The sequence below is a fragment of the Homo sapiens genome, chromosome 2, assembly GCF_000001405.40.
Source record: "Homo sapiens chromosome 2, GRCh38.p14 Primary Assembly".
Lineage (NCBI taxonomy): Eukaryota > Metazoa > Chordata > Mammalia > Primates > Hominidae > Homo > Homo sapiens.
The window spans coordinates 36,871,454-36,891,209 of NC_000002.12; the positions used below are offsets into that span (position 1 = coordinate 36,871,454).

The 19,756-nt window shown below is 38.2% G+C and overlaps 1 protein-coding gene across 3 annotated transcripts in view; it reads right to left on the reverse strand.

The window, feature by feature from the left end:
* STRN (striatin) overlaps window positions 1-19,756 on the reverse strand; it is a 128,839-nt gene that overhangs the window by 33,756 nt on the left and 75,327 nt on the right. The window contains exons 8-11 of one of the 3 annotated variants that reach the window (XM_011533073.3): window positions 15,263-15,373; window positions 13,067-13,153; window positions 12,479-12,622; window positions 6,438-6,574 (exon numbers count right to left, since the gene is read on the reverse strand). In XM_011533073.3, coding sequence (XP_011531375.1) covers window positions 6,438-6,574; window positions 12,479-12,622; window positions 13,067-13,153; window positions 15,263-15,373 — 479 coding nt within the window. The remainder of the gene's footprint in view (window positions 1-6,437; window positions 6,575-12,478; window positions 12,623-13,066; window positions 13,154-15,262; window positions 15,374-19,756) is intronic. The other 2 variants (NM_003162.4, XM_005264519.6) reach the window with 2 other exon arrangements.

A 19,756-nucleotide genomic window follows, 5' to 3' on the forward strand; every position in this document is an offset into this window, starting at 1 on the left:
AAGCCTATACCATTTAGGCTTCTAACTACACTCTATGATGTTTGCACAACAATGAAATCACCTAATGAACCCATTTCTCAGAATGTATCCCTATCATTAAGCAATGTATGACTGTACTGGTTAAAGACTGGAGAAATACTACTTATTTACAAAAGACAAAAATACACCAATTCTAACAACAGCTGTTATTTTGGGCATTATTCATTATTTTGACCATTACTGAAAATACTTTATATGCATTAACTCACTTAGTCCTCAAAATACCTCTATGAAGAAGGAAGTAACAGTATCTCTACTTTACAGACTAGACACATCAGGAAAAGAGAAGTTAAGTGACTTGCCCAAAGAACCCTGCTAGTAAGTGGAGGGGCCTGGATTCAAACCCAAGCAGTCTGAATTTAGAAGTTACCCTCAATAAAACATCTGCAGGAAAAAAAATGGATAGAACATGTCAAATTAGGATAATAAGAGAACATAAAATACATCATCCAAGGAACTACTGTAACTACTGGGGCTGGTTATTCTGGAAGAAGAAAAGCTGAGTTGAATCATGTCTGCTCTTTTTAAGCACCTGAAAGGCTTTCATGTGAAAGAGCAATCAAATTCCTTCTGAACGTCTTAATGTGGTAGGCAGCCACTAAGATGGCCCCAATCAGCCCCACTTCCTTATAGGTAAACCTTATATAGTTTCCTCCCCCATTATGGGGTTGGTCTCTTCACCAATAGAATATAGCAGAAGTGATAACAAGTTGTAACATCTTCCATCTTGGGTATTCTTGCTCTCTCTCTTTTCACATGCACTCACACTGGGGGGAGCCAGCTGCCATGCTGAAAAGCCCATGGAGAGACCTATGTGGTAAGGAACTAAAGTCTCCACCAATAGACAGCAAAGAACCAAGGCCTCTCAACAACCACAGGAAGAGCTTGAAAGCAGATCCACCCTACAAGTCAAGTCTTCAGGTGATACTGCAGCTCTGGCCAACATCTTGATTGCAACTACATTGGAGACCCTAAGACAGAATCACCCGGCTAAACTGCTTCTGTATTCCTGACCCACAGAAACTATGAAGATAATAAATGTTTTTTGTTTTAAGCCGCTAAGTTTTGGCATAATTTGTTACATAGCCATAGGTTACTGGTATTATTATGAAACCAGGAACTACTTTGGGAAACCGAGCGACAGACCTAACACCAAGTTTTCTAACAATTAAAAGCTATGAAAAAAGAATGAGCTTTATCTGGAGAGAGGACTAAGTTCCATTACATACTGGATAAACTCTTTGTGGGGATAGAATAGAGGGAACAAAAGTATCTAATGGGAACTTCTGCTTCTAGCCATGGCAAATCAGGAAATTTGGACCACCTCTGCACTAAGGACAAGTAGAAAAGCAGAATTAAACATAAAAAAAAACAGACAAAAAATACTGAAGAAAAACCAGGCCAAAATCCAGAGAACAGAGAGGCCTAAAAGGTGAGCCCAATATTTCGGCTGTTTTCCCCCAGATGCTGTTTACTGATTCCAGAGGGGATGGCTGAGAAGCCGAGTAGTTTTTCTGACAGATTTGAAGTGTCATGGGGATACAAACTGATGAACCTGCCACGACAGTGGGGCTCAGTAAGTCACTTTGCTTTGGGTTATGATTTCAAAGGGTGGCATCCTACACATAAGGGTAAACTAGAAAAAGCCAAGCTTGCAGGGACTGTAAAAATTTAAAATGGAATAAAGCGATCCCAGATCCCAGAGCCAGTGGCTGCATACATCTGAGAAAAGCAATTTAAATTATAACATTTGGTCTGAAGTTATTTCTACAGACAACTTTTCAAATAACAGTTTCTTGAAAATAAAAATAATCATGTACATAAGGATGTAAGACAATATAACTGAAAATGAGCAGAAACAACACATAACAGTAAAAGAACTACAGACTTTCCAATTCAACTTTAAAATAATCATGCTTTAGCTGGGTGTACTGGTGAACATCTGTAGTCCCAGGTACTCAAGAGGCTGAGATGGGAGGAGAGCCTGAGCCCAGAAGGCAGAAGTTGCAGTGAGTCAAGATTATGCCATTGCACACCAGCCTGGGTAAGACAGTAAGATTCTGTCTCAAAAAAATTAATAATAATAATAATGTTGATTGTGTTCAAGGAGATAAAAGACAAGATTGAAAATTTTGGAAGAAATCTGTAAACAATCTAAAAAAAAGAATTCGGCCAGGCGCGGTGGCTCACACCTGTAATCCCAGCACTTTGGGAGGCTGAGGTGCGTGGATGATGAGGTCAGGAGATTGAGACCATCCTGACCAACACGGTGAAACCCTGTCTCTACTAAGAATACAAAAATTAGCTGGGCATGGTGGCATGTGCCTGTAATCTCAGCTACCCGAGAGGCTGAGGCAGGAGAATTGCTTGAACCTGGGAGGCAGAGGTTGCAGTGAGCCGAGATTACGCCACTGCACTCCAGTCTGGCGACAAAGCGAGACTCCGCCTCAAAAAAAAAAAAAAATTCAAGAAGCAAAAACCAGCCAGATGCTGTGGCTCACACCTATAATCCCAGCACTCTGGGAGGCTGAGGCGGGTGGATCACAAGGTCAGGAGATCAAGACCATCCTGGCTAACACGGTGAAAACCCCATCTCTACTAAAAATACAAAAAAAAAAAAAATTAGCTGGGCGTGGTGGCGGGCACCTGCAGTCCCAGCTACATGGATGGCTGAGGCAGGAGAAGGGCGTGAACTCGGTAGGCGGAGCTTGCAGTCAGCTAAGATCGCGCCACTGCACTACAGCCTGGGCGACAAAGCAAAACTCTGTCTCAAAAAAAAAAAAAAGAGCAAAAACTGTAAGACCTCAATAGACAGGCTTAACTACTGACTACAGATTACTGAAGAGACAATTAGTGAACTGAAAGATGAATCATAAAAAAAATAAAGGGAATAGGAGACAGAGGTCACAGGAAGAAGAGGAAGAAGGTATAACACACATATAACTATGTTCCAAAAAGAGAAGAGAAAGAGAGAGGTGCTAGAGTGGTACTCGAAGAGAAATGGCTGAGAACTTCACAAAAGTGATGAAAATACATCAAGCCATAAAGATTTAAGAACTTCAAGAAACTTAAATAAAAAGGAAAACAAACCTTGGCTAAAAAAATAGACACAGATAATAATAGTGAAAAAAATCAGACTACCATTAAATGACCAACAACAGAAATGATAGTTGACCTTAGCAGAAAACATAAAAACAAAGACAGTAAAATACTATGTTTAGAGTTAAAAAAAAAAAAAAAAAAAAAAACACCTCTGCCAACTAGAATTCAATACGCAATAACAGTTGACCCACTCAGGCTAAACAAAGATATTTCAGAAAACAAGACACAGAGAGAACTGGATACCAACAGACCTTCACTAAAGAGAAATACTAAATGTTCTCAGGTGAAAAGAAAGTGATCCCAGATGGACAGTCAGACATGCAGAAAATAATTTTAAAAAGCAAAATGTGTAAAGGATAATGTAAAATGTAAAATAAATAATCCTAACTGAGTATAGAGTGTACAAAACAATAATTTTCTTTTAGAAGATAAACATATTCAGAAATGTGTAACAAGAATGACATATAAGTAGGGTGGGAATTAAGAATTAAAAGCATTATAAGGTCTTTGCATAGAAAATTTTGATAAAGATGTATGTGATACTCTCTAGGGTACCCACTGAAGAGTAGCAAAAGAGTGTAGAAATTCCAAGTAGTAGAAAGGTGGAAGGTTGAATAAAAAATAATCTACCCCAGCCAGGCACGATGGCTCATGCCTGTAATCCCAGCACTCTGTGAGGCTGAGGTGGGCAGACTGCTTGAGCCCAGCAGTTCAAGACTAGCCTGGGCAGTATAGCAAGATCCCGTCTATACAAAAAATTAAAAAGCCAGGCATGGTGGTGCACACCTATGGTCCCAGCTACTTGGGAGGCTGAGGTGGGAGGATGGCTTAAGCCTAGAAGGTCAAGGCTACAGTGAGCTGTGATCACACTACTGCATTCCATCCTGGGCAGCAGAGTGAGACTCTGCCTCAAAAAAAAAAAAAAAAAAAAAAAAGATTGAATGCTCCAATTAAAAGACAAAGGTTATCAAAAATTACCAAAAAAAAAGCAAAAATCAACTTAACAGTGTTTTAAAAAGACAAACATGAAATATAAGGCAACAAAAACATTGGAAATAGAAATGATTTTTTTTTTTTTTTGAGAGGGAGTCTCGCTCTATCGCCCGCGCTGGAGTGCGGTGGCGCAATCTCGGCTCACTGCAAACTCTGCCTCCCGGGTTCACGCCATTCTCCTGCCTCAGCCTTATGAGTAGCTGGGACTACAGGCACCCGCCACAATGCCCAGCTAATTTTTTTGTATTTTTAGTAGAGACAGGGTTTCACTGTGTTAGCCAGGATGGTCTCGATCTCTTGACCTCGTGATCTGCCCGCCTCGGCCTCCCAAAGTGCTGGGATACAAGCGTGAGCCACCGCGCCTGGCTTACAAATGATTTTTTTTAAATCTTTATCAGGTCAGGCATGGTGGTTCACACCTGTAATCCCAGCATTTAGTGGGAGGCTGAGGCAGGTGAACTGCTTGAGCTTAGGAGTTTGAGACCAGTCTGAGCAATATGGCGAAAGCCTGTCTCTACCAAAAATAAAGGAAAGTACCTGGGTGTGATGGTGCGTGCCTATGGTCCCAGCTACTTGGGAGGCTGAGATGGGAGGATCATTTGAGCCCGGTGGGGCGGAGGGTGCAGTGAGCTGAGATCAAGCCACTGCACTCCAGCCTGGGTGACCGAGTGAGACCCTGCCTTAAAAAAAAAAAAAAATTTTTTTTTTGTAAATCTGTATCATATTTGTGGAGAATGGAGTGCAAGGAGTCCATTTAGATTAGATGGTTATTGTAGTAGCTCTGGCTAAGAAAAAAATGGACCAGGATAGAAAATGAAAAGTAGTATACGGATTTCAACTGTCTTTGGAGGTAGAACCCAAAAGACTTACTAATGGGCTTAGCAAACAGGTTGGGAGTTTTTTTATCTGTATGAAGAGGAGTGAGTGGTAAGCATTATTCTTTGGAGTGCTTCTTTACCGTACCTATGGTTTACTTAGGCATCCATCCTACATCCCCTGCATGGTACCTGTGCTGCAAGAGATACATTGTGTTTTCCAACAGAGATCATAAACTATCAAAGTGAGAGGAATTTAATGAAATAAGGCAGGTTATAAATACTTCACCTATGACATAAGCAACTATTTTTCTAATAAATTATTTATTGTGATGAGCAATTATAAACATTTTTTTTTTTTTTGAGGCGGAGTCTTGCTCTGTCGCCCAGGCTGGAGTACAGTGGCGAGATCTTGGCTCACTGCAAGCTCTACCTCCTGGGTTCACGCCATTCTCCTGCCTCAGCCTCCCGAGTAGTTGGGACTACAGGCGCCTGCCACCACGCCTGGCTAATTTTTTTGTATTTTTAATAGAGACGGGTTTTCACCGTGTGAGCCAGGATGGTCCCGATCTCCTGACCTCGTGATCCACCCGCCTTGGCCTCCCAAAGTGCTGGGATTACAGGGATGAGCCACTGTGCCCAGCCCTATAAACACATTTATAAAACAATTATGTTTGGAATTAAGTAAATGTATGCCCAAAGGTACAAAGATTTCAATTTTGGTCCAAATCTCTGATGGGTCAGCCTTAACATCTGGAAAGCACACTGTATACATCCATGCCTACTACTAATTAAAATCTCTTCTCAACAGGATATTGACTAGTGTACTAAAGAAGCAAGGCAAATATTGTTTAGGTAGGCACGAATTACAACTAATTGCTGGTGCCCTAAAAAAGAAAACAAAATCCAAATTTGGTAATGGAAAAAGGAATTCTTTCCCCTATCAAAAACCAATAAACAAATCATACTCAATTATGGATTTAGGTAAAGCCCAAAATTTTAATCTCTAGGTTATGGAAAAATGTTAGTTTTTCTTTACGTATCTTTCAAAGTTTGCAATGAAAACTGAACCAAGTTCTACACTTGTAAAGAAGTTTTACCATTGCCTTCATTTTCTATAAAATCAACTTTTTATTTTATTTTACTTTTTTGAGACGGAGTCTCACTCTGTTGCACAGGCTGGAGTGCAGTGGTGCGATGTTGGCTCACTGCAACCTCTGCCTTCCGGGCTCAAGCAATTCTCCTGCCATAGCCCCCCTAGTAGCTGGGATTATAGGCACCTGCCGCCATGCCTGGCTAATTTTTTGTATTTTCTGTGAGACAGCGTTTCTCAATGTTGGCCAGGCTGGTTTTGAACTCCTGACCTCAAGTGATCCGCCCACCTCGGCCTCCCAAAGTGCTGGATTACAGGCGTGAGCCACCGCACCCAGCCCAAGTTTTTGTTTTTAAAAACCAAGTAAACACAACAAAAACAAAACTACTACTTACATCATAAGTTAGTGAGTCTGCTTCATTGGCCACCGTAAGGCCTGCTAGTTCTCCAAGTCCCAGTTCACTTTCAAGGGCTTCATCTGCTCCCATGATGAATGACTTTCCAGAAGAAGGAGGAAATGTCAATGCTTCCACTGAAGAGGGAAGACAAAGGAAACATTAAAAAATCTCTAAGGAGCCAACATTTAGTCTCATTTGCTTGCATCAAATTTCTTATAAGTGCACGTATATACTTAATTGTTTTTAAATGCTTTTAAACACAATAAAATTCAGTGAGCAGAAAATCCTAAATAATTTATTGCTTTTTCCATATCTTAACCACAGGTAAAGGCATCAACTAATTAGAAAAGTAAAACATGAAACAAATCTAAGAATCCACTGTCCTTTCCTTTTCACTATATAGAAAAATAATGACTATAGGAAAGTAAGTTTTCCTCATTTGATATTTCATGTTAATTACCTAAACAATTTCTATTAATTACTAAATATATGTACAAGTGCTGGTCTCATTCAAAATATAATTCATTAATTTTATAACCTAGAAGAATATAGAAAATTTCAAATGAAAATGGGTCAAATTCTTAAATGTGCCTATTTATGTGACAAAATCTATATGTGGCGTTATAAGTCAGGATTACCTCTGCCGGCCAGAAGAGGGGTAGTGATTAAAGAAAGGAAGCAACAACAGGACTTCCAGGGCCCTGGTAATGTTCTACTTGTTGACCTAAGGGGTGGTGACGTGGGAGGGTAATAATTCTATCTTGATGACAATTCACTGAGCTGTACCCTTATGATATCAGCACTCTTCTGTAGGTATATTATAGTTCATCTAAAATTTTTTTTTATTTTTTATTTCTTTTTTTTTATGTTTTTTTCTGAGACAGAGTCTCGTTCTGTCACCCAGGCTGGAGTGCAGTGGTGACATCTTGGCTCACTGCAACCTCCACCTCCTGGGTTCAAGAAATTCTCCTGCCTCAGCCTCCCGAGTAGCTGGGATTACAGGTGCGTGCCACCACATCTGGTTAATTTTTGTATTTTTAGTAGAGACGGGGTTTCACCATGTTGGCCAGGCTGGTCGTGAACTCCTGACCTCAAGTGATCCACCTGATTTGGCCTCCCAAAGTGCTGGGATTACAGGCATGAGCCACTGCACCCGGTAAAGAAAATGTTTTGTTTATTTGTTTTTTTTGTTTTTTAGATGGAGTCATGCTCTATGGCCCAGGCTGGAGTGCACTGGCATGATCTCAGCTTACTGCAACCTCTGCCTCCTGGGTTCAAGCAATTCTCCTGCCTCAGCCTCCCAAGTAGCTGGGATTACAGGCGCCTGCCACCATGCCTGGCTAATTTTTGTATTTTTAGTAGAGACGGGGTTTCCCCATGTTGACCAGGCTAATCTCAAATTCTGATCTCAGGTGATCCACCGACCTTGGCCTCCCAAAGTGCTGGGGATACAGGCGTGAGCCACCACGCCCAGCGAGAAAATTTTTTAAAGTGTCCATTTGAACACTTTCATTAGCTGTGAACTGTGCTTCAAAGATGTCAGTTTTACTTTGTGAATAACCTGAAATATCCTATTTTGTAACATTTTGAACATAACAATCCAATTCCTTCAACAACCATCATAGAAAAATCAGTTAAAAGCAATATGTCTAATTAAAATAATGATTTTATTTAATTTGGTCAATAACAAAATGTCACTCTTTATAAATGCAATTTGTTCTGACAAACGTCAGAGATAGTCTTTGAGTAGTTTCCTACAGATGGTTACATATGACAAACATTTGTGAGTCAATAAGATGAATTTAGTAGTTCAAACCCTAGCTGCTAAAGGGGTAAATTAATTTTCTTAAAAGAAACAAGTCAACTGTATTGACTAGTGCACGTACAAGACATTTTTCAGTTTTATATTCAATCATGTCTATTAATAAATACTCATTGAATAAATGAAAGAATTGGCCAGGCTCGGAGGCTCATGCCTGTAATCTTAGTGTTTTGGGATACCAAGGTGAGAGGACCCTTTGGGGCCAGATGTCTGAGACCAGCCTGGGCGACAGGGCAAGACCCCTATATCTTAAAAAAAAAAAAAAATCTGAGACGGGGTCTCACTCTGTCACCCAGGCTGGAGTGCAGTGGTGTGATCTCAGCTCACTGCAACGTACACCTCCCAGGTTCAAGCAAATTCTCCTGTCTCAGCCTCCCAAGTAGCTGAGATTACAGGCACCTGCCACCATGCCTGGCTAATTTTTGTATTTTTAGTCGAGATGGGGTTTTGCCACGTTGGCCAGGCTGGTCTCAAACTCCTGACCTCAAGCGATCTCCCTGCCTTGGCCTCCCAAAGTGTTGGGATTACAGGCGTGAGCCATCATGCCCGGCCTCTACAAAATTTTTTTTAACAATTAACCAAGCATGGTGGTGCATGCCTCTAGTCCTAGCTAACTGGAAGGCTTGAGGCAGGAGGATCTCTTGAGCCCAGGAGTTTGAGGCTACAGTGAGCTATGACTGTACCACTGCACTCCAACCTAGGCAACAGAGCAAGACCATGTCTTTAAAAAAAATTTAAAAATAGTTACTTGCTTTTAAAAACAGTAGTGACAAACTCTTAAAATCCTCATCAGAACAAAATAGAGCATAAATTAAGACATTATCAAACTACCATACAATACAGTAGCAAAAATAAACATAGGTTTTACCCAAAATACCATATATCATCCGAGAAGTTCAAACAACTCTAAACATTTACTAATGAAGAATAGGAATTGTTGAAGTTACAACAGCAATTTTCAGGTCAAAAATATCAGTTGAATGACTCATGTGAGACTATGATGGTAGGTCTTCAGCCAGGTGTTTTTTGTTTGATTTGTTCCCATTTCTAACATTTCCAGATAACTTTGTTCAGGTGTAAAAGACTAAGATTCCTAGGATAGACCATATAAATTATGTAAGTTAATTCTAACTACTGCTCTACAAATGGCCAAGTAAAACCTGAAAACAAAGGAGGTAACAACTCCTTCCTTACATACCAGTGGACAGCCAGGACACTCCAGGACTGATGAGGCAGAGCAATAATAAGCATCACTGTTACCTGATTGTTCCTAAGGAGCCTTAGAACTTAAGACTATAGGTCACGTTTCCATCTGGCAACTAAACCTTCCTAGCCCTAATCAGCTTTTACCAAAAAACAAAACAAAACAAAACCCTGTGCCTTTTAAATGTGACACTGCCTTCTTTTTTTTTTTTTTTTTTTTTTTTTTTAAGACAGAATCTCACTCTGTCACCCAGACTGAAGTGCAGTGGTGTGATGTCAGCTCACTGCAACCTCCGCCTCCTGGGTTCAAGTGATTCTCCTGCCTCAGCCTCCCAAGTAGCTGGGACTACAGGCACACGCCACCATGTCCAGCTAATTTTTGTATTTTTATTTGAGACAGGGTTTTGCCATGTTGGCCAGGCTGGTCTTGAATTTCTGGCCTCAAGTGATCTGCCCACCTCAGCCTCCCAAAGTGCTGGGATTACAGGCGTGAGCAACTAAACTGCACCCGGCCCTGCCTTCTGAATTATTAAAATAAAAATAAAGTAACAAAATTATAGAGCACACACAGCATATGAACATTCTTTCTGAAAGTGGACTGAAGACCAAGAAGTATCAGTTATAGACAATTAAATATACAATCTATCTCTTAAATGTTTTTTCTATTTCCAAAAAACCTGCACTGAGGGGGAAGGCTTAGGACCACTGCTGCAGATAGTAAGTTAAACAAACATTCAATGCTTGAGTTTTAAAGTTCCTCACTATGTTTTTTATCAAGGACATCTTCTGTGGCTTACATAATGCTTTTGTACATCTGTCATTTAGTAAATAGTATATATCCTACCTCTATTATTAGAATTCTGCATAATTCATGTATGGCCTGAGATGAAATCTGATAAACTTTTTGAATTATGAGAATAAGAGAAAAACTAACTTTTCTCCTTATCTAGACCTGATTTTGGGATTAATGCAACTGATTAGAAGTCTCATACCTATAATGTCAACAGAATGCATCTCCTAGTGATCAACATACCTACTAAGGACCATGACCTCACATCTGTAATTCAAAAGACATCAAATAAACTTTACATCTACAGTGTGATGTGTTGATTCTTTGTATGGGTAATAAATTCCAAGTGCTATAATTGACTCTAACAAATGATTAACCATGTACTGGTCAAAAATTTCACTGAAGAAGTATTCCAATCGTGAAAATCTAGATACATCTAAATCATATCAGTTTATGTCTCTCTAAAATGTAATTTATTAAAAAAAAACAAGAAAAAAACATATGATTATGCTGTGGCTTTTTCTCAGGCTGTGTTGATCAATAAATAATAATTTGAAGAGACAATGCAAATATAGTATTTAAATTCAGAATTTTTTAAATAAGTATTTAAAAATATACATTAATCATAATTACTTTTATGTCATGCTGAATTTTCAGCTAATATAAATATTTGATTGTTTTAAGAGACAGGGTTTCAGTATGTCACCCAGGCTGGAGTGCAGTAGCTATTCACTGACTCAATCATCACGCACTACAGTCTCAAACTCCTGAACTGCGGCTGAGCCCAGTGGCTCATGCCTGTAATCCCAGCACTTTGGGAGGCCGACGCAGTTGGATCACTTGAGCCCAGGAGTTTGAGATCAGCCTGAACAACATGGCAAAACCATGTCTCTACAAAAAGCATAAAAAAGTTATCTGGGCATGGTGGCATGTGCCTATAGTCCTAGCTACTCAGGAGGCTGAGGTGGAAGTATCACCTGAGCCTGAGAGGTCAAGGTTGTGGTGAGCTGTGATTGCGCCACTGCACTCTAATCTGAGTGACAGAGTGACAGCCTGTCTCCAAAAACAAACAAACAAAAAACAAAACAAACCTCCTGGGCTCAAGTGTCCTCCCACCTCAGCCTCCCAAGGAACCACCAGGCTCAGCCTAAATATGTACTTCAAAATCAATTTCCACATACAAGCATTTTACACATTTATAAACAGATAAATCAGACCTTGTGTCTAAAAGAAAGAACTGTATTTATATACCATAAGATTACACTGCAAAAGACTAAAAATAACCTAAATATTCAAAAGTTTCATATCAAGTCTACAATATAATATACAATCTTAAAATTATCATTATGAAAATCATTTGTATGATTTTAAGAACACAAAATAGAATTATTATACATGATGTAGAATAATGCATATTTTTATATAGGTATATTCTATACCTGTATAAAAAGTATATACATGTGAGGCCAGGCATGGTGGCTCATGCCTGTAATCCCAGCACTTTGGGAGCCCAAGATGGGCAGATCACTTGAGGTCAGGAATTCGAGGCCAGCCTGGCCAACATGGCAAAACCCCATCTCTACTAAAAATACAAAAAAATTAGCTAGGCTTGGCGGCAGGTGCCTGTAATCTCAGCTACTCAGGAGGCTAAGGCAAGAGAATCACTTGAACCTGGGAGGTGGAGGTTGTAGCGAGCCAAGGTCATGCCACTGCACTCCAGCCTGGGCGATAGAGCGAGACTCCATCTCAAAAAACAAAAAAAAAGTATACACATGTGAACCAAGACTGAAAGGGAACAAGTTAAAATAGCAGAATATGTGACTAGACTTTTAGGTGACTTTATCCCCTTTTTCAATTATCATTAATAAATTGCTTAAATATTTATATGAGTTTCAAAGTAAACATTTACTACCAATTTACAGACTGCTAATTTTTCCAATGTTGGAATGGTATATATAGGGCCATGGGCATCAGTGGAGCCAGCGGATATTTTAAACCAGAATTTAGAGTTGGTTTTTAAGTGTATGCACCTTCTCAAGTCTTGAAGATTGAAGTTGGAATCAAACTCCCTTGAATGTAAGAAAGCTTGCATTTGGGGAAAACTATGCAGATCAAACATCTGCAGAATAAAGTTCTCTCTAATAGGAGAGGCCTTTCTAATGAATGAATTTAAAGATATACATCCAAGTGCATTTTGTGCTCCAGAGTATCTTAAATACTTACCTTCATCTGCCCTATTAATTTCATGTTCAGGAAGCCTGGAGCTGCTGGGTCTGGAAGGTGAACCCACAGATGGCTGCAATGAAGGAAGTTCATCAACATCTCTCAAATTAGCAAGCATATCTTGTAGTTTTGACCTATTGGGCCCTAGCCAAAAAAAGGGGGGGTGGGAGGAGATAAAAAAGAGAAAAGAGAATTATCCAATTGCATCAAAATGGTATTATAAGCCTTATTTTCCATCTGTCAATATTTACCTTTAAAAATATTCTACTAGATTAATAAGAATTATTTTCAAGTTTTCAAATTACTGTAAAAGTTTATTTCTTGAAAAGAATTATACTTTTTAAATTAAGCAAATGGGATATCACTATTTACATAAAAAAGAATGCTCGTGTCCAGTTAGACCATGAAAAATAACATTCTTTAGCCACTGAATATTGCTCTAAATGCAGCCAGATACAGATTGTGAGCCTACTGTGCACTGAATTAAACAGTAACATCCCTGTTTGTTTAAATTAAGTTGCATTAATTGCCTTACATCCTGAAGCTATGGTACCCGAGGTGAAGTCTCATGCCCTACCGATTACTTACCTAAACTTTGATTCTTCATTCTCCCACATCCCTGTTTTGACTGTTTTATATAGGATAGAGGCTGAAACAGATCTTCAGTAGTTTTTCCTGTTACAAGTTTAATTAAGAATGGGAAAATCTTACCCAAAGTCTGTTATGGTTTGTTCCTATACCAGCAAAGAATACAACTATTTTTAAGCAATTTTTACTAATGCCTAGAAATGTATTTCAAGATGGTATGATTGGAGTACAGGATTTGACTGGAAATATCTCTACTAGACCACATTGAAAAGACTCAAACTTTTCCAATGAGTACTAGTTCAATTAAAAAAAAAAAATTTATGGTGGTTTATAACTCAATGCTTTATATATCAATTCAAAGCATGGCTTCAGTTCTATTTTTATCCTAAGTCTTTACTTGTTCCTAGATTGCTATTTTATCAAGATAACATGAACTGAAGACATTAAACAAAATGTGCTGAAATGTGTAGTCCCTCTCTCTTCAATGAAAGATGTTAAAATTTCTCCCTTACAGTGTCATTTTTCTTCACCATACTAAAAAAAAACCATGTGCTAGATGTCTGAACACATTTTAATCCCCCGATTTAAGAAATCCAATTGCTTCTATTAGTAGGAATATTGTTCCAGTCAAATGGTGCAGTTTCAGTTAAATTCCAACTACAGCAATGCCTTGATATTTGACAAGAACTGAATAACCAATGGAAAAGTAGATGGATTGTGCCTAAGTCCTGGTTACCTTTCCAACTAAAGGATCTTTTGTATTTCAAGACATTCATTTTTGTAGCATAATGACCTAAAGAAAAATATCAACATTAAGTTAATCTGGAAATTATTTCTCACATATGACATTCAAATTTTCCTCAAAATTTCAGTTTAACTGGTTTTTTGTCATGACTCTCAAAAGCCAAGACAAATCATCTCCCTATGCTTGTTAAGATTAAATTGTCTATCAGTAAGTATATTTGGCGAAAAGGTATGAAATGTGCTTATGTTTTAATATTAATCTTTCTCATTCTGATTTAATCTATCTTGAGATAGCATTACAACATCATCTCTCATTATGTAATGGTTTAACATCAATAACAGACACTGACTTTTTATCAAATCAAGCTAAACGCTTGTAATTTCTAAAATATTTTAAATAAAGGTTTAAATGCTTTTAAGTAATAAAGTTTAAAAGAATGTCCTAACAGGAATGACTGGTCTTTAATAAGCTTTAGCATCACTACAGAGAGAGAAAAAGAAAAAGCATACCTTTCCAGTCTTTCGCAACTTTAAAATACATTTCTCACTAAGTTAGATTTTAATCTCACTTTATACTACCTTAACATCTCAAATAATCAAATTCCTATTACCATAAAAGGGAGGCCCATATTGTCAACGAGGGTAGAAACACAAGGAGGTAATTTAGCCTTGTTCCCCTAAGAAGATGATTTAAGACTGTTTTCAGGAATGGTTTGTAAGGTTTTGTATTTCCATTTTACATTCTTAACTAGATCCATTGCTAAACAATTTGCATAATGAAATAATTAAACATATATGATTCACAGGGCTAGAAATTTCCTTTTGGATTTTGTTTTTGATGTGGCATACATTAAAAAGGAAAAAAGGTCATTGGTAATAATGTTATAAGTAAAATTGGCCAAAAATGTTTAAATAGAAAATAAATATTTTTAGAAGTTATATATTTGACTCTGTGCCCTGTATAGCATATAGTGGTATGAGCAAATGAACTGCATGTTATGAACACATAGAATATTCAGGGGTAGAAATTAACTTTCTGTCACCAATGTCTAAAATTATAAGCAATAATTTTGGTGGATTGCCAGAGGGTCACACTAAATGAGTTATAAATTGTCAATGAAAAAGAAAAACATTGTTATAATTAAGCACAGGTACTTTTAAAAATCAAATTATCACTGTGTTTGAATACATAGCCCAACACTCATGAGGCTCTGGATTTATTATTGGGATATAGTATACATGATTCCATAAGTACATGTGGGTTGTTTTCTTTTAAGTTCATAATTAAATAGCTAATCATTTAATTTCAACCCCTGAGAGCAGGTGAAAAGGAAAGAGGTCAGGAGCAGAAATGAAAAAGAGTAAGTAGATTTAGGAAAACATTGAAAAAAAAAACTGGGGGATGTAAAGAGGCAAGATTTATGATTTACAGATACAATGTTTTCCACTTACTCTTCACCCCCTTTTTCCCCTTTCTCTCCTTTTTGTATTGTTCCTTGAGTTTGGTAATTACTCCCTGGTCCACATTCCAGGCTTCAGGCATGAGACACTGGTCTTCCTTTTCTAAACAGAGTGAAACAAATGAAACAGCCTTTTTCAATAAAATATTGAACACTCTGAGTCAGTATGTCTGAATGACGTAACAACCACTTTCTTTATAGTATCACTAACTTAAAAAAAGTCAGTTTATTCATTTTATATATATAAGTCACACAAAAAAATATAATCACTAAGAAGAAATGATCAGTGCAATTTCCTAGAATCAGTTTCTCCTGAAAGACACACACACACACACACACACACACACACACACACACACACACGGAAGATTTTAGTGATTTTTAGTAAATTAAGCACAAACACTTTACAATCAAGAACTTCTCGGCCAGGTGGGGTGGCTCACGCCTATAATTCCAGCACTTTAGGAGGCTGAGGCGGGTGGATCACATGAGGTCAGGAGTTCAAGACCAGCCTGACCAACAGGTGAAACCCCATTTCTAGTAAAATAAATAAATAAATAAATAAATAAATAAATAAATAAATAAATAAATACAAAATTAGCCGGGCATGGTACCTCATGCCTGTAATCCCAGTTACTTGGGAGGCTGAGGCAGAAGACTCGCCTGAACCCGGGAGGCGGAGGTTGCAATGAGCCGAGATTGTGCCATTGCACTCCCGCCTGGGCAACAGGAGCAAAACTCTGTCTCAAAAAAAAACAAAAAACAAAAAACAGAACTTCTCGTTTTCAGAATTCCTCTAGGACTAACACAAAAAGACTTTGTATTAATTTATGTGATGAGAGAAAATTTTTATTTAGGGATTGTACAAAATAAACGCCAATGATCTTTTAAAGAAGTTTATATTTTTGCCATGTGTTCATTAGTAAGTGATAATTTTTATTTTACAGGCTTAATACATAGCATTTGAAAAATTTATTAATCAACCTTCATTTAAAATTTACAACTTAAATGATGTTAGTTTATAAATTCTTAAAACAGGAAACTGAGTTTCTAGTAGTAAAGAAAATCAATAATCAATTGTCACTATTTCAAGAGAAGAAAATTTAAAAACTATGTTATGTATTTATATTTACTATAAAACAATGTAAATACTATATAATGCTATGTAAATGTTAACTCAGAATGCTAGCTTGAACCCAAGACTGATACATCCAACTGTTCATTCTACATTTCCATTAGGAAGTCTAACAGATACCTCCAAGCAAACATACAAAACCAAACACCCAACCTCTCTCCCCATCCAATCTGTTCCATCCAAAGGGTTCCCCACCTTATTTGATGACAATTCCATACGTGCACTTTTTCAGAGCAAAACCCATTCTTTCCCACTCCACATAAAATATATCAGGGAAAACTATTTTCTCTACCTTCACAAATATTCAGAATCTGGCTTCTCAGCACATCTACTACTACTCTGATCACTATGATCTCTTGCTAGGATTACTGCAATAATTGTTCCCCCTTCCCCATGTCTATTATCAACACTGGTTTCCCTGTGTAGTCTATTCTCAATGTAGCAGCCAAAGATGGTTTAAAATAAAAGATCGTGTCACCCTTCTTGCTCAAATCCCTCCCATGGCTCCCCATCTCACCACTGGTCTACATGGCTCAACATGATCTGGTCATTTCTTACTACATTCTCCCTAGAATCACTCTGCTCTAGCCACTCTGGCTCCCTTAAATTTCTCAGGCATGCCAGGGATGCTGCTACTATCTTAAGGCATTTGCACTGGCTTTCTTCTTCCTGAACACTTCTTCCCCAGATGGCCAATTCCCTCATCACGTCTTTTACTCAATTGTTATCTTCTCAATGGGGCTTATCATGGCCACTATATTTCATGGGTTTTTAATTTATATGTGTGTGTGTGTGTGTGTGTGTGTGTGTGTGCATTTATTTACTTATCCATTTATTTTTGAGGCAGAATCTCATTCTATCAAACCAGCTGGGGTGCACTGTCACAATCTCAACTCACTGCAGCCTTGACCTCCTGGGCTGAAGCGATCCTCCCACCTCTGCCCTGCAAGTAGCTGGGACAACAGGTGTGTACCACCATGCCCGGCTAATTTTTAAAAAATTTTTTGTAGAGATGAGGTCTCACTATGTTGCCCAGGCTGGTCTCAAACTCCTGGGCTCAAGCAATCTTCCCACCTCAGCCTCCCAAAGTGCTGGGATTACAGGCATGAGCCACTGCACCCAGCTAACCACTCTATTTTGAATTGTAACCTGCCTTCTCTACCCCACACTGACCCCAGCTCTCTCTATCTCCCTTACTCTGTACTTTTTCTACTTTCCATAGCATTTATCACCTTCTGACATACTATATCCTCTTAGTTGAATGTAAGCACCAGAAGAATAAGTATCTTCACCTAGAAAACCCAGCAAATAGAAAGCACTTGATCAATATTTGTTGAATGAATGATCCGAGTAAACCAAAGTGAATCATAATAAACAGAAATCTGTTTTTAATAATTTGAGTTTCAATCCAGTTTAGAAAACTGTTTCCTGGGCCTCTGAATATAATACTATTAAAAATCATTTTAAACAACATTTTTATATACTTAACTATAATCTATCAATAGGAGAAACATTCTTTATTTTCCCAGAAAGACATAACAATTAAAAATGTTAATTTTCATCAATCAGGTCTTAATAATAAATTAAACTAGATGGCTTTTGGGTCCCCAAATGTCTTCAGGTTTTTGAAGTTAAAATGTAGCCTTATAATCTTACTAGACTCATAAAAACAATAGCAATCATGGAAGATGTATGGTAAAATCTTTTTGCTTGCCAGAATCTAACCAGATTCTCAACCTAAGCATATTCTTCTTTTTTTTGGGGGGGGTGGGGGGGAGTAGAGTAGAAGACAGATGGAGAGAACCCTTAAAATCGTTTAAATGTTCACTCAATTAGACAAGATTTGCAACCTAGTTTTGTTAATTTGTTAAAAGTGAACCCTTTGAATCTGAATTATAAAATCCTAAAACATACAGGTCAAACTACTGGTAAAGAAACCTCCAGGAAACCGAAAGATTCCATTTACTCATGCTCACTAACAGAACTATCCAGCACACTACTAAAGAAGGAGACAACTCAGTTGTGAGAACAGTCAAGCATGTGACTCATATAATAGGCTAGGTAAAATGTACACACATGTATCATATAATACACTGAGCTATGACTCACACGTTAAAGTAAAGGAAGTTACACAAGGAACAGTGCAGCTGTCCTCGGAGAAAAACCAATCTCCGGTACCCTTGCAATATGATTCACAATTAAAATGACCAACTATATCTATGCAGATGTGTGATTCCTCAGAGAAAGACCTCAGTGTGGCACAGTAGATGCAGCTATGTTGGTGGACTTGCCTAAAATATGAGTAACTTGATACACAAGCTCAGTAGGGAATAAGACAGAATAAAGGCCTGTTTCACTTTAACATCTCCTTGGTTTCCAGACTTGTTTTCTTGAAAGAAAAGCCAGTCACTAGGTACCCACTGTATTCTTCAATGACTAAATAAGTATCTTTTATTTACTACAAAAAAAGGAAAAGAAGTGTCATTGGTACCATGACAGAGTCCCTGAAGGTAATGGCAAATTTACATGGTTTAAGCAAAAGTAAAGGCATATGAAAAATTTATTGTGTGCTATGGTTATAAAGTTACTATTGTCAATATTATCACTGCACCAGAAAACTTTTTTTTTTTTTTTTTTTTTTTTGAGACAGAGTCTCGCTCTGTCGCCCAGGCTGGAGTGCAATGGCGTCATCTTGGCTCACTGCAACCTCTGCCTCCCAGGTTCAAGTGATTCTCCTACCTCAGCCTCCCGAGTAGCTGGGATTTCAGGCACCCGCCCCAATGCCCAGCTAATTTTCATATTTTTAGTAGAGATGGGGTTTCACCAGGTTAGCCAGGCTAGTCTCAAACTCCTGACCTCAGGTGATCCACCCGCCTCGGCCTCCCAAAGTGCTGGGATTACAGGCGTGAGCCACTGCGCCTGGCCCAGAAAACTATTTTTTAATGATTCTTGGGCAAATGAACCTACCAATCATTCTAGAAAGTAATTTTCAACTGAACACTAAGGGCAAGAAGAAGTCAGCTGGACTTAGAAGTATAATCAGTTTCTTCCTCTCATAGGAAGCTCCAACATAAAAGCAAAATAATACACTACAGGTGACTATCCCTTACCCGAAATGCTTGGGACTAGAAGTATTTCGGATTTCAAATTATTTTGGATTTTGGAATATTTGTACTATACTGGTTCAGCACCCCCCAATCCAAAAATCCAAAATCCAAAATGCTCCAATGCGTATTTTCTTTAAATATCATGGCAGTGCTCAAAAAGTTTCAGAATTTGGAGCATTTCAGATTTCGAATTTCACATCAGGGATAGACAGACAGCCTTACTTAAGTAACTTACTTTAACACC